The following is a 16,038-nucleotide window of genomic DNA, read 5'->3' as shown; positions in this document are numbered from 1 at the left end:
ACAGAATGGAATAATATAGTATCCAGATGGCAGACAGAATTAAGATAACTATAAATTGTGAAAATAATAGTAATTTGGAAGCCAGATTTTTGTTTTCAATAAACTTAAGATTGAAAGTCCCTGTGATCACTATGAGTTGTCTATGCTTTCCTTATTCAACACCACATATTTTAGATAAAAGCTTTAATAAAGTACAGTCATTCCCTGCATAGTAACATTTCAGTCAACAACAGACTGCATATACCATAAGATTATAATGGAGCTAAAAAACTCTTATCACCGAGTAATGTCATAGCCATTGTAATGTCATAGTGCATTACCTTTTTCTATGTTTAGACGTGGTTAGGTACACAAATACCATTGTGTTACAGTTGTCCATTATATTCAGTACAGTAACTTGCTGTGTAGGTTTGTAGCCTAGTAGCAATAGGCTATATCATATAGCCTAAGTGCATAGTAAGTTATATTGTCTAGGTTTGTATAAGTACCCTCCATGATGTCCACACAATGATAAATTGCCTAACGGCACATTTCTCAGAACATATCACCATCATTGAGCAAGGCATGGCAGTATATGTGTTCCCAACTGAACACATTCTGAAATTTTCTGAAATTTTCTGGAGTTAATTCACATCTGGAACATATTTCATTATTCTTTAATCCATTGATAATTGATAGAATTTTAAAGCTAGAAAGAATTATTAACATTTACAGAAATATGAATTTATATGCCAATTAAGTATCTGTTTTACTTATGTAAGTTTTTGTTAAACAAGATAATTATGTAACTCTGTTTTGCTGTAAATATAAACTTAAAAGACTAAAATAAAATTATTGTAGAACTTAAAATGAGGGGAAAATATTTTGTATGTTCCTTTTTTAAAAAAATTAGCATTTATTGATGGCTAAATAGAGGTAAATGCTAACAATAGGAAACACAACTGAAGTACCCAACGTATTTAACTCTTAGAAGGGTGCCATCTGTATTTGATATCACTGGTTCCTTCCTAATTTGGGAGCTTCTTTATTTTTGTGTCAAGTGTAGTACTCTGTATTATAATAGGTGCTCCATAAATAGATCTTGGGTGGGTTTGAGTACCCCTTTTGGTGATTGATTAAGTACTAGAGCTGCTATTTTTGCCTGCCTTCTTCTCCCTATTCACTTTGCACAGATATGCTATGATATTAGTGTGGTGATTATTTGAAACAAATGTCTGGAAGTTGGGGAGTAGTTACTCATGTTTCGAAGCAACTATTTCAACTCACAGCTCCTTAGTTGTTCATTCTGCCAGTTTCTATTACATGTTAACACTGAAAAACAGGACCAGCCTCCCATAGATCAGATGCACTTACAGTTATGGAAAAAGTAGACGAGTTCATCCACATATCCCCAGCTTTTTATATATATAGTCAGAAAAAGGATGGAAGGCTGCTATTGTTTAAAAAGTTTATTAGTTTGCATAGCTATGAAAATAATAGGATTTAGCCAAACCCAAAGCATTTTTTAAATGAAAGACAAAAATTTTACATTTTTGTTTTCCTACTTAATTAAAAATTCTATTATAGTATTTTTTTATTTTTCATAATTGGCAACCTTAGAAGATAACTAAATGTTGCAACGTGATTTTTCTTGGTGAATATAGCGGTGACCTCCAACTTAAAATCCTATGATTTACTAAAAGCTAATAATGTATTAAAAGTGCAATCCTCTGGAATTAAATTTCATGTTATACACATTGTAGCATTTTTATAATCTATATATGTTGTCCAATTTTTTTTGCTGAGTACTCAATGCCACTTCTCTCTTATGCCATTTCTATCTTTTCATTTCTTGTAATCCTATTCATATGCTGTCATATAAAATTACTCTATTTATTAATCTTGGGCTGGAGTAATTTGAGAATTACTTAAAGAGAATCATCAAAATAATCTTCTTGTTTTTTTTCTTTCCCAACAATCTTTTCAAAAGAGTAAACAGCAGCTACCAATATCACTGTTACGATTGAGACTAAGAGAAGCCTTGGTGAAACAGAGAAAGGGGCAGAGGCAGCATTTGTGCCAGGCTTCTTCAATAGAATATCTCCTGCAATTTTTACAACTTCACCTACTTCACAACATCAGGGAAAGGTTGAGGCTGGAAATAGAGAACTATGAATTATCATTATTTAAATAGTGATTGATGCTGTATAATTAAATGATACAGGGGAAAGTATTTATAGTAAAAAGGCAGCAAAGAACAAAACCTTAAGATCAAGGGTTGTCAGATAAGGAGGAGCTAGCAAAGAAGAATGAGGAATGGTCCAAAATAGAAGAGAACTGGGAGAAAACAATGTTATGTGTAGCCCACATAAGAGTTTCAAGACAGAGAGGATAGTTAGAAGCAACAGTGCTGCTGGGAGGTCAAGACTAAAAATAGACTCTTAGAGTGAGGACTAAAAATAGTCTTTGATTTGGCAATATATGGGTCATTGGTGACCCAGGCAAAGCCTTTCTATCAATGTAGTAAGGTTGAATAGCAAATTGTCATAGGTTGAAGAATGGGTAGGAGTTGTAAAAACTGGAATAACTGTTGTTTCACAAAGTTTAGGGTTAAAAAAAGGCAAAGAATTGTAATAGTGATTTTTTTTTTTTTTTTAGTGAGGATGATAGCAGAGTTGTTTATATGCTGAGAATGAACCAGAGTAAAGGTGCAGGAGAAAGTGGGGATTGTTGACAGAATAATATCTCAGAGAAAGCCAGGCAGATAGAATAACAATATACAGGTAAAGAAAGTGGTAGGGGTGGAGAAGTATGAGCAATAGACACTCCTTTGGCGAAATTAGAATGTATGTGGTGAGGACCAGAACTATTATAAGTAAGTTTGGAGATAAATCTGAGGGAAATTGAGCTGTTACATCAAAAGTTACCAGAAGTTTATTTTTATATAGTGAAATTTTAAAATACTTACATGATCTTAATGAATACTTTATATCTATTTAGTGGCTTCCAGGCAGTTTTTTTTAGGATTGAAATTTATTTTTATTTGATTGTGATAGAAATAGTTAACATGAGATCTACCTTTTTAACAGATTTTTCAGGGTACAGTTCAATAGTGTTAACAGCATACAATACAATATAGGTACAATGTTAGACAGCAGATACCTGGAACTTAATTCATCTTGTGTTACTGAAATTTTATGCCCTTGATTAGCAACTCCCCATTTCCCCCTCCCTGCTGCCTCTGGCAACTGGATCTGCTTTTTGTTCCAATAAATTTGACTATTTTAGTATACCTCATATAGGTGGAATCATGCAATATTTGTTCTTCTGTGACTAGCTTTTCAGTTAGCATAATGTCCGTCAGGTTCATCCATGTTGTTACATGTTGCAGGATTTCCTTTTTTCTTTGAAGACTAATAATAATCCATTGTACATATACACCACATTTTCTTTATCTGTTCATCTGTCAATGGATATTTAGGTTGTTTCTACATCTTGATTATTGTGATCAGTGCTGCAATGAACATGGGAATGCAAATATCTCTTCAAGATCCTGATTTCAGTTCTTTCAGATAAACACTCAGATGTGGGATTGCTGGGTAGTTCTATTTTTAACTTTTTTTTTTTGAGATGGGGTCTCACTCTTTCACCCAGGCTAGAGTGCACTGGTGCTCCACTGCAGCCTCAACATCGTGGGCTCAAGTGATCCTCCTGCCTCAGCCTCCAAGTATCTGGGCTACAGGCAGGCAGGCACCTCTATGTCCAGTTAATTTTTGTATTTTTAATAGAGACAATGGCTCACTATGTTGCCCGGGCTGGTCTCAAACTCCTGAGTTTAAGCGATCCTCCCACTTCAGCTTCCCAAAGTGCTGGGATTACAGGCATGAGCCACCATGCCCAGCCTATTCTAATTTTTTGAGGAACCTTCGTAATATATTTCACAGTGGCTGTACTATTTTGCATTCTCACTAGAAGTGGGCAAGTTTTCCAGTTTCTTCACATCCTCACCAACATGTTGTCTTCTTAAAGCAGTAGCCTAACAGGTTTGAGGTGGTATCTCATTATGGTTTGATTTGCATTTCCTTGATGATTAATTACATTGAGCATCTTTTCATTTACCTATTGACCCAAACATATGTTCTGTCTGTCTTAAAATCAACTCTTGATTATCTTTGGAAAATATTTAATCTTGAAATATCTGCCCCGTTTTATTACAGGAGCTGATCTCCCCAACTATCAGTTAGATAAATCATTGCTAAGCAGCCCCTAAAAAGAAAAACACTTTAGAAGTAATGCTAAAATAATCATCTACTTTAAAAAATTATTTTACAGACTGCACCTTATTTGCGTGTATGCCTTTTCCTCCACTAACTCTAAAAATTAGGGGGCTTACTGGAGATACGGAGAGGATAGTTCTGAAAGCCTCCCTCAAGAGTTTAGGGAAATTCTCAGACTGGGAGCTTAGCTTAGCTCCCAAAGCAAGTGTTTGTGACAAATATAGGTTCTTCAAGACTTCTCCATAGTTCTCTGGTATTCTGGAACTTTGAGTTGAATATTTTACAATAAGGCCACAAATTTGTAACACCGTATTGATGACTTATGGAGAATCTCACTTGTTAGTAATTAATCTTTTTCTACTCCAACTGAATGTACTGTAATTCAATTCAGACACTGATTACTCAGAGTTAGTGCGATGCCAAAAGTTGGCTGGACATGGTGGCTTACGCCTGCAATCCCAGCATTTTGGGAGGCCAAGATGGGTGGATCACTTGAGCTCAGGAGTTTGAGACCAGCCTGCGCAACATGGTGAAACCACATTTCTACAAAATATACAAAACTTAGGCAGGCATAGTGGCACGCCCCTGTACTCCCAGCTACTTGGGAGGCTGAGGTGGGAAGATAGCTTGAGCCCTCTTGAGGCAGAGGTTGCAGTGAGCTGAGATCACGCCACTGCACCACAGCCTGGGCATCAGAGCAGGACCCTGTCTCCAAAAAAGAAAAAAAAAGTTAAGGACAAAGGCCTGCCAAGACTGACCTCACTTCAGATGCCAGCACTAGTTTTGTGGGGGTGGGGGTTCCCAAGGGCACTTGCATTTCTGACCAACTGGCTAAAAATTTGGGGACCCCATCAGCCCCTCAAGTTCAATAATTTGTTAGAATGACTCAGAACTCAGGAAAGCACTGTATTTATGATTACAATTTTATTAAAAAGGGTAGACCTCGGGTGAGGCCTGGAGCTTCTGTGCCTTCATGGAATCAGGGTACATCACCTTCCTGGCACATCAATGTGTTCAACAAGGAAGCTCCACTGAGCTTTCAGTTTTGGTGTCTAGAGAATACTTTTGGGGTTTGATTACATGATTAATTAGGCATGATTATTTAAGTCATTGGCCATGTGATTGCACTCAGTTTCCAGCTCCCTTCTTCTCAAGAGGTTGCTAATGGGGTGGAGGGCTGAAAGTACTCAACCCTCTGAACATGAGATTGGTCTTTCTGGTGACCAACCGCTATCCTGAAGCTATCTAGGGGCTCACCAGAGTCACCTTATTAGGATAATAATGGCACTTCTATCACTCAGAAAATTCCAAGCATTTTTGAAGCTACCTGCCAGGAGCCCAGGACAAAGACCAGACAAATTATTTATTAAACTACAGACCACCCCCTGGCCTATGACCATGGATCCCATATGGCAAAAGGATCATTCCTGTCAATAGGACCAGCATGAATATGCCTAATGTTTGGAGGAATCAATATTGGGTAGAGATAGGAGGCTTTTAATTCCATTCCCAGTACTATCAGTATTATACTCTTACCAACAATTCCAGTGTTATACCATATTGTAAAGTAAGAGTCAGAAGACACTAGCGCATTACTAGAGTTCTACTAGTCATTAATAATTAGTCCAGTCCATCATCATGTTCTGTGACCAAGTTGTCTTCAAGTTTAGGCCTCTGAGGTTTATAGGATTCCATTCAAGTTTGTCAAGTTCCAGGCAGGAGAGGTCTCAGCAATATATGGCTTCATCTTTTCATGTATCAGCTATAATTAAGCTAAGAAACAATATCATTCTTTTGCTCTGAGCCTCTTTTGAAGCATTAATGTAATATTTTACTTATTGCATAACCCATTTATTCATTTCTTTACTCTCAGCTATTATTTCTCCTATCCATTTGTATAGAGCAAACAGGCTATTTCCGCTACCAGCCAATAAAGCTGCATTCACTATTAAACCTAAATTCTCCAGATGGAGTGAAGACACAACCCATCCTATCAGGTCCTTAGGAATTTTGATGTTAAGGCTTAAAAGTATAGTTACAATTTCTTTCTTGGGAACCATCTCTGCTTCTGGCATTTGTAGTGGTAGCCCTGGTCTTGGGACCGTGGTGTCAGGTAGGAGAAGGTGATATAAGGAAGAAAGAAAAAAGTGTTTTGCCATACCAGCGTCCTCCTTTCTCCTCCCCCTCTCCCTGAGATCCATCAAAAAAACAAAAGGAGGCCGAGGCGGGCGCATCACAAGGTCAGGAGTTTGAACAACCTGACCAACATGGTGAAACCCCGTCTCTACTAAAAATGTAAAAATTAGCTGGCCGTGGTGGTGTGCACCTGTAATCCCAGCTACTCAGGAGGCTGAGGCAGGAGAATTGCTTGAACCTGGCAGGTGGAGGTTGCAGTGAGCTGAGATCGCGCCACTGCACTCCAGCCTGGGTGACAGAGCGAGACTCCGTCTCAAAAAAAAAAAAAAAAAAAAAAGGAATCTCTCTAGTGCAGGAATCTATATCTCTTTGCTTCTCTCTTGATGAATCCATACTCATGCTGGTAATGCAAGCCAGTTCTTCATACTTTCCCCTGTTTTAGAAAACCACTGTTTTAACTTGCCATTCTGATTCTTTACCAAACCATTACTCTGGGGAAGATATCTCTCTGCCCATTGTTGGACATTATGGATTGTAAGGTATGTTCCTTGGTCTGACGAAATGTGACTAGGTGGTCCAAATCAATGCATTATGTTCTCTGCTGGTTCTTTTATAGTTCCCTCAGTATGTGCCAGGCTACCACTGGTTAAGTAAAGCCCAGTGCGGACTCGGCATCTATTCATGTCAGGACCCTTTTGTAGCCATCCAGGGCTACTGGCATGAGTCCAAGTTTCCAGCTATGTGTAGGGCCTTCCTCTGAGGGAATCTGCCCTATAGCCATCTGCAGTCTGTCATGGGCAGACAGAAAGTTCTTACTGGTATTTTGTGCCTCAGAGGGTTTGAGAGGAACATTTCTAGATTCAGTTCATCTCTGCATTGCTGCAGCCCCCAGTGTCCACTTGCTTCATATACCCAGGGGGCCACCTCAAGCAGGCATCCTGAGGTATTTGCTCGTCAATTCCAATCACCTTTTGAACCTTGAAGGGGAAGTCTCCCCATAGGCATTGATACGACATACCTTAATGCACCCATCAGATTCCCACAGTAAGTTCCTTGAGGCTGTACCCTATATGGGCATGCCTATAATAGGCCAGTTTTCCACTGTCCTTCTTGCCTGACCATGTGACCATGGCCTGCGAGTTAATAAAAACTCAGATATTGAGGCAAACAGCATGCAGTGCAGCCCACCACGCTTATTTGTTTTCACCTTCTTCTGTCAGAGGAATGGCCTTACAAATAAAATGTTGTATGTTCACAATTGAACTGCTATTCATAAACCAAGCAGCTATTTGTTGGTTAATTGAGAGCTGTTTATAGGCCACTGTCCGAGTGTCAACAGAATCTGGCAGCAACTCAAGTGGTTCCAAAGTCCATCAGAGCAGGTAGACTCATGAATACACTGTGTAACTTTTTGCATTTCCCAGTAATGTGTTCCTACTCAATACATTTCATTTTATTATGAAACTCTTCTGGGCATTGCCTTTCCTAGTAGAATGTGTCTCCAGTATCACCTAAGATACTATGGGTACATTAGATTTCAAGATTATTTTCTATTCTTCGGTTATAGGGGCAGTTTCAATTAATGTCAAATAGCAAGCTAGTAATTGCCTCTCAGATGGGAATTCTCTAGTCCAAAATCCCAGTAATTTTCACTGAGAGGTGTTCATAGGCTTTCGCCTGTAAGTTCCAATCTGTATTCTACCCAGCGTTTTTGTATAGAGAATTCATCCATACTAGTTCATATACTGATTGATATTAAAGGCCTGTTGAACTAGAGTAATCTTATTGATTCCCATTTTGCATTCCTAATTAATATTGCTTAAAGGGTGGATTTACATGCTCTCTGTTTCACATTCCTTAATAGAGGAAACGCTCTCCAGTCAGACATAATATCAGTCCGCATAATATATCCTGGTAAATGAGACACAACTACTTAACATAAAGCTCGTTTAGGGCCAGATGTGGCTCACATCTGTAATCCCAGCACTTTGGGAAGCCGAGGCAGGTGGATCACCTGAGGTCAGGAATTCAAGACCAGCCTGGCCAACATGGCGAAACCCCGACTTTACTAAAAATACAAAAAAATTAGCTGGCATCCCAGCTATTCGGGAGGGTGAGGCAGGAGAATTGCTTGAACCCAGGAGGCAGAGTTCGCAGTGAGCCGAGATTGCACCACTGCACTCCAGCCTGGTCAACAAGAGCAAAAACTCCATCTAAACAAAACAAAACAAAACAAAAACAAACAAACAAAAAACACCAAAGCTTGTTTTAAATATACGAATTTTCATCCAAAACTTTCACCTAAATCCCATTAGCTCTTGCATTTCTATATCTTCTCAATCTAGTTATGACTCCCATTAGGACTTTCTTTTTTCTTTTTTTTTTTTCTTTTTTTTTTTCTGTTTTTGAGACAGTCTCGCGCTGTTGCCCAGGCCGGAGTGCAGTGGCATGACCTTGGCTCACTGCAACCTCCTCCTCCCAGGTTCAAGTGATTCTCCTGCTTCAGCCTCCTGAATAGCTAGGATTACAGGCATGCACCACCACGCCCAGCTAATTTTTTGTATTTTTAGGGGAGACGGGGTTTCACCATGTTGGCCAGGCGGGTCTCAAACTCCTAACCTCAAGTGATCTGCCTACCTCAGCCTCCCAAAATGCTCGGATTACAGGTGTGAGCCCGGCCCCATTAGGACTTTCAGTAGTAGGTGGGGGAGGTGTTCTGGTCAGACATAATATCTGTTCCCATGAAACATTCAGGTAAAGGAGACACAGCCTGTTCACATAAAGTCTGTTCAAACTCTCCAGTTTTCATTCAAACTTTCACCTTAATTCTACCAACCCTTGCACTTCTGTACCCTCTCAATTTAATTGTAGTCTCCTTTAGGGCTTCACCAGGGGGTTTTGGACCAAAGTACATGGCACTTCTGCGTCAAGGTGTCTAGAGTCTTCTCCTCTCCACCCCGTGTCCATTTTGCCTACTCACGTGCTTAAGGTGTTGGGTCCCCAGCTCAGAATTGAGCCAAGGAACCCAGGCTCTTTCCTGAATCTTTTTCTTGATTAAATTGGTAGACCATTGCTCCAGGTAATTGAAGGTCAGGTTTCTTGTTGCCATCTTTGCCTTTCTGCTTTCCAAATTCTTCCAAACTAAGATGAATAAAGCAGATTTGCTTAGCACTCTTAAATGTTGGGGCACTAGCAGGACCGCCGCATTGGTCCACCCAACCTCTGTGTTTTGATTTCAGACTTCCACCCTGCTATGATGAGTCCCTTGACTCTCCCCTTTCTCTTTCCCTTTCATTTTACCCCCATCAGCGTTTGCTTTTTCACCTCGTTTCTTTAAAAAACAACCAAATAAAACTTTTGTTTTAGGTTCAGGGTACATGTGCAGGTTTGTTACATAGGTAAACTTGTGTCATAGGGGTTTGTTGTACAGATTATTTTATCACCTAGTTACTAAGCCTAGTACCCAATAATTATTTTTTCTGATCCTCTCCCTCCTCCCACTCTTCACCCTCAAGCCCCCAGTCTCTGTTTCCCTCTTTGTGTCCATGAGTTCTCATTATTTAGCTCCCACTTATAAGTGTGAACATGTGGTAATTGGTTTTCTGTTTCTGCATTAGTTTGCTAAGGATGATGGCCTCCAGCTCCATCAACGTTCCCACAAAGAACATGATCTCATTTTTTTTATGGCTGCACAGTATTCCATAGTCTATATGTACAACATTTTCTTTATCAAATCTGTTATTGATGGGCATTTAAGTTAACTCCATATCTTTGCCATTGTGAATAGGTGTTGCAGTGAACATTCGCATGCATGTGTCTTTATGGTAAACTGATTTATATTCCTTTGGGTATGCACCCAGTAATGGGATTGCTGGGTTGAATGGTAGTTCTGTTTTTAGCTCTTTCAGGAATTGCCACACTCCTCTCCACAATGATTGAACTAATTTACCTTCCCACCAACAGTGTAAAACTATTCCCTTTTCTCCACAAATCACCAGCATCTGTTATTTTTTGACTTTTTAATAATAGCCATTCTGACTGGTGTGAGATGGTATCTCATTGTGGTTTTGATCTGTATTTCTCTATTTTGTTCATATGTTTGTTGGCCACATGTATATCTTCTTTTAAATGTCTGTTCCTGTCCTTTGCCCAGTTTTTAGTGTTTTTTTTCTTGTAAATTTGTTAAGTTCCTTATAGATGTTGGATATTAGACTTTTGTCAGATGCACAGTTTGCAGAAATTTTCTCCTATTCTGTAGGTTGTCTGTTTACTCTGTTGATAGTTTATTTTGCTGTGCAGAAGGTCTTAAGTTTAATTAGATTCTATTTGTCAATTTTTGCTTTTGTTGCGATTGCTTTTGGCATCTTTGCCATGAAATCTTTCCTTGTTCCCATGTCCAGAATGGTATTGCCTAGGTTGTCTTCCAGGGTTTTTATAGTTTTGTTTGCTGTATTTTCTTTTTTTGTTGTTTTTTGTTTTTGAAACGGAGTCTCGCTCTGTCACCCAGGCTGGAGTGCAGTGGTGTGAGCTCGGCTCACTGCAAGCTCCGCCTCCCGGGTTCACGCCATTCTCCTGCCTCAGCCTCCTGAGTAGCTGGGACTACAGGCGCAGGCTGCCACGCCTGGCTAATTTTTTGTATTTTTAGTAGAGACATCGTAGCCAGGATGGTCTCGATCTCCTGACCTTGTGATCCACCCACCTCGGCCTCCCAAAGTGCTGGGATTACAGGCGTGAGCCACTGCGCCCAGACTGCGCTGTATTTCTTAATAACTGTTTAAAGATTTTTTTCCCAGTTTGGATGAGTTTCTAGACACTTCCCTCTGTCTGTCCCTATTCTCTTAGGGATCATTTTAGTCTTTTTCATGATTTGTTTCAGCATAACTTTTTCCTTTGAAAATGACTCTGAGGCTAGTGCCTGTTCCTTGAACTGGCAAGAATCCAATATCTTTCCCAACACATTCATTCCTTCAGTAGGGGCCCTGAGACTAGAGGCCATAATTTAGACTGGCCAGAATTTATATTTGATTCATCTCTTCCTTTCATTTTTAGCTATTATATTATAGATAGTAATTACCAAGAGATTGTATATTTCTCTTTTTTCTTACTGTTTTGCATTTTCCTATGCATTTAGTGAGCCAGTTCCCCAGAAGATATATGCATCATCTCTAAATTTCACTGGTAACTTTTACCTCCAATAACTGATTGCAGCATAGCTGGTGTTTCATACCCTGGGTGACCCCATGGCCATGGAGGAATCAGAAGTTCTTCATCCCCTGCCCTTTCATCCTTTCTCTTCCCAAACCATATGTTTCAGTAACCTGATACCAACTATTCCATTTTCACCTCCACTGGGTATACTGCAATTCATTTCTACACTACCCGGAGTTAATGTAGACACCAAAGCTTAAGGGCAGTCTTCCACAAGACTGCTCCTATTTCAGATGACAGCCACAAGTCTAAGGCTCCCCCAGCCCCACTGCAGCTGCCTACTTTTCTGACCAACTGGCTGTAAATTCTGGGGTTCCCACAATGCCTTCAAGTTCGATAATTCACTAAAATGACTCACAGAACTCAGGAAAGCTATACTTATTATTACAGTTTTATTATAAAGGATAGACACAGAGTTTCTGTGCCCTCTTCTCTCAGGACACATCACCTTCCCAGCTCATCAGTGTGTTCACTAACCAGGAAGCTCCGCTGAGCTTTGGCGTTCAGAATTTGTATGGGGTTTTATTACATTGGCATGGTTAATTAAATCATTGCCCACATGATGAACCAGTCTGCAGCCTGCTTCCCATCTCCAGAGACTGGGAACCTGAAAGTTCAGACCTTCTAACCACATGCTTGATCTGATTATCAGCCCCTATCCTGAAGCTATCTAGGGGCCCACCAAGAGTCTCCTCACTAGCAATAATAAAGATACTCTAATCACTCAGGAAATTCTCAGGGTTTTTGAAGCTCCAGGACAAAGACCAGATAAATTATTGATTGTACCAGAGTAGCATATTAATAACAGAAAACTGAGTAGCACATAACACGTTGCCTGGCATTATAGTAGACATTCAACATGTTTTTCCTTTGCGGAATATGATGGTCTATTGTTGGGGCTTAGAAACTGATACCCCAAAATATGGTGCTTTGACATGCTGTGCTGAAGTTCCCTTATCTGCCTCAACTTCAGACCCACCAAAGAAGACAACAATTCCCTCTGGTCCCTTCCCTGAGTTTTCCTTAACTAAACTCATATTGCAGGAAGAAATACAGAAAGCTGTCAACACACCTGGGCAGACTTTTGTCACAAACCATTGTGTGCTCTGTGGGCCCAACAGACTGTTCCAGGCCACTGTATGTTCTTCATGCCCACTGAATTCCCCTAGAAATCATTTACTACCCGTTCTAAAAACCATCCACACTTCCCCATCTCCATTTCCCTTAAGAAGGGGAAGAAGTGGCTTTTAACCATCTGCACCCCATTGTATGGTAGGGTAATCACTCTCTGATTCTCCCCCATGCAAGCTAATAAATTTGTATGCCATTTCTCCTATTAATCTGCCTTTTGTGAGTTGATTTTCAGTTAACCTTCAAAGGACAAAGAGGAAGTTTTCCTTTGGCCTCTACACTATGGTGTTATATTAGTTTAAATCAAAGTTATCAGAATTATAAATTACATTCACATTTGGACTTCCCATTGTGAGCCTGTGGAGCATTAATGCCATACCATTAATAAAAATTCTAATTAGGGAATGTGTTTTAGGAAGAAGTATTCAGTTTTATTGTTTTCATAAGAAATGTGACCACATTAATAAATTAAAATTGGATGCTGCTGCTCTCTCTGTGGTCTAGAGAGTTAAATAATTTCTTATAAGGATTATAATAGTTTCACTGAATTTTACCAGTAAAAATTCTAATATAACACATTAATTAATGTTCTACTTTTTTTCAAGTAATCTTCCTCTTTGAGGCATCAACCGGAAAGCCGTTAGGTGATGGAAAGTTTCTTTCTCATAAGGTAATGGACATTAACTACTTCTAATGTAAATAGCCACTATTTATTTATTTCCTTTTCAAAATTAATGTTTTCATTTTAAAGAGGACACAAAGGAATTAGTTTTTTATTTAAAATCAATGTGCATTCTCCATTGACTATTTTGCCTAAAGATGTCACAGTTAAAGACTAAGCACTGGTAAAGTTTGTGATAGGAAGCTATACATGCAAATTAGTTGAAAAAAAGGATCTGACTTATATGTCTGTTGTCAAACTCTTCACTGTTTTTCAGTTACATGTTCTTTTTTGATTAAAATTTTAGCACTTACCAGTAAATAAAAATGTATTTGTGTTTCTAAGTATCTTGCAGTTTTCTCATTGACCTGTTCTTAGCCAGCATTTTCTTTAGGTTTTAAGACTGTAGTAAGAAATCGCTATACAAAGTACAAAAGACCCTGAATTGTAAGTTGTTTATTGGTTTCTGATTTTTAGCCTTAGAAAAAGAAGCACATTGCATTGAGTTATCCTTCTAAATTGCTGATATATTAGGGTCTAAAGACACTTTTAGTTTTATTAATACTTCTAGTGAACTGTTACTCAAAATTATATATTTATTTTTGTAATTATTAGTTTTTTTGTTTGTTTGTTTTTGGTAGAGACAGGGTTTCGCCATGTTGCCCAGGCTGGTCTCGAACTCCTGAGCTCAAGCAATCCACTCGCCTCAGACCCCCAAAGTTCTAGGATTACAGATGTGAGCCACCATGCCTGGCCCTAGTTTTAAATTTGAATAACAAATACATTCATATGGTTCAGAAATCAAAAAGCATTAAAAAGTATACAGTGTTAGTCTCCCTACTATACCTATTATTCATCACTGTAGTGCCTCTCCACCAAATAAGTTACCATTATTATTAATCTCTTATATATTCTTCCAGAGATTTTTAGTGTATGTATCAACAAAACTGATATATGTTCTCTTCCTCCCCTTTACAAAAATGTAACAAACAATTTTACACTTTGCTTTTTTCATATAATACTGTCTTTCTGGAGATAGTTCCATATCTATACATAAAGTGCTTTCCCAACCCTTTTTCCTCCCACTGTATGGTATAACATTTTATGTATGTATCAGAATTTAAACTGTTTCCAATCTTTTGCCGTTAGTATTACAGTATTGCCAAGATGAATTACCTTGCATATACATCTTCTTGTACATGTGCTAGTGTAACTGTGAAATTTATTCTTGAAATATTGTTGCTGGGTCAAAGGATATGAGAATTTGTAATTTTAATAAGTATTGTGAAGTTATCTTCCAAAGAGAGTGTATGAGTTTACCTTTGCACTGGTAATATATGAGGTGCTTATTTCCCTATAACCTCTCCGTTATTGTCATTTTTAATCCAAGCTATATAAGCAGAGTTTTTCCTCTTCAGTAAGATTAAGCATATCAAAAGGAGTAAATGTCTCAGCTTTTCAAGATGCAGTCATTTTTGTTAGTAGGATTGAAAGGAGAGTCAATTAATAAGCTTAAATATTTATTTTAATGTTATAACTCTTTCTATAACACTTTTCCTAAGTGTAAGAATTTCCTAATTTACAATTAAAATAATTTAATTTACAATTAAAATTAAGAAATTTATAATTTCCTAATTATAAGAATGGAAGTGTCTTCTACATGTCACACTTCACCCAATTACCCAGTACATTTGTATGCAATACAAAGGATTTTTAAATTTTACATTCTATAAAATAATAGAAAAATCACCCAATCTATTTTATTTTATATGTGGAAGAAATTCATATCCAGGATCTTCCCAATAACAGAGCCCAAACTAGAACTCAAGTCTGTGTATTAGTAAATGAATATTAATTAGTGTAGGGCAAGGGAGACGGTTCTAATGAACACAAAACTGCTTTTATGTCCCACTACAAAGAGTAACCCAGGAGGAATAGAACCTATGTGGAGGTGGTAGGACTTGACAAGAGGAAAATGGGGGAAGCCCTGCTGAATGAAGTGGGGGAGCCCCTCTTCCCCTATGTACATAGGCATTACTATAATTACTATCCATCTTTGATTTTTAATTTCTTAGGAGAATCATATCTGTTTAACAGTGTTTTTAAAAGAATACACTAGGTTCTGATGATGATGATGACGATGATAAGCAATTCTTTATTGTAAAGATCAGTTTCTCTGAAACATTTCCATTTTGAAAATACCTAGAGTTATATTTCATGCATGCCTTGATATATATGAAACCAAATTCTTTTCTTTCTTAAAATATAAATTATGGTATTCCAGAAAGAGTTGAACTTTTTAAAATGTATTATGAACTGGTATATGACTGATTCATCAATTTGGATAAAGGTGTATGTGTGTTTTGTTTTACTTTAAAAAGTGTTTTTTATAGTACATTTTGATACAATGACTTGATGTTGTAGTCATTATTCTGGTTGAATTCACAATTCCTACCAAAGTCTTCAGACATTGTAGGAGGTAAATAAATCTTGCTTGGTTTGAATTAAAATGAATCTATATTAAAACATTTTCAAGTTATAGTAAAATTCATCTCACTAGCAAATGAAAAGCAGTGATCTTGGAGTTAGAAGTCTGAGTTGCAAGTTTAGATATACTTGACACTGGCTTTTTCTGAGCAAAATCAC

The 16,038-nt window shown here is 38.1% G+C and overlaps 1 protein-coding gene and 1 long non-coding RNA gene across 6 annotated transcripts in view; both read left to right on the top strand.

Annotated features, from left to right (window-relative positions):
• Window positions 1-16,038, top strand: part of TRIM59-IFT80 (TRIM59-IFT80 readthrough (NMD candidate)) — a 258,294-nt gene that overhangs the window by 186,543 nt on the left and 55,713 nt on the right. For all 3 annotated transcript variants that reach the window (NR_148401.1, NR_148403.1, NR_148402.1), the window contains one exon: window positions 13,337-13,401. This is a non-coding gene — a long non-coding RNA (TRIM59-IFT80 readthrough (NMD candidate)). The remainder of the gene's footprint in view (window positions 1-13,336; window positions 13,402-16,038) is intronic.
• Window positions 1-16,038, top strand: part of IFT80 (intraflagellar transport 80) — a 142,240-nt gene that overhangs the window by 100,021 nt on the left and 26,181 nt on the right. For all 3 annotated transcript variants that reach the window (NM_020800.3, NM_001190241.2, NM_001190242.2), the window contains one exon: window positions 13,337-13,401. In NM_020800.3, coding sequence (NP_065851.1) covers window positions 13,337-13,401 — 65 coding nt within the window. The remainder of the gene's footprint in view (window positions 1-13,336; window positions 13,402-16,038) is intronic.

The sequence above is a fragment of the Homo sapiens genome, chromosome 3 (assembly GCF_000001405.40).
Source record: "Homo sapiens chromosome 3, GRCh38.p14 Primary Assembly".
In the NCBI taxonomy this organism is placed as follows: domain Eukaryota; kingdom Metazoa; phylum Chordata; class Mammalia; order Primates; family Hominidae; genus Homo; species Homo sapiens.
Note: the sequence above shows the minus strand (reverse complement) of the source record. Positions and strands in the feature narration are given on the sequence as shown.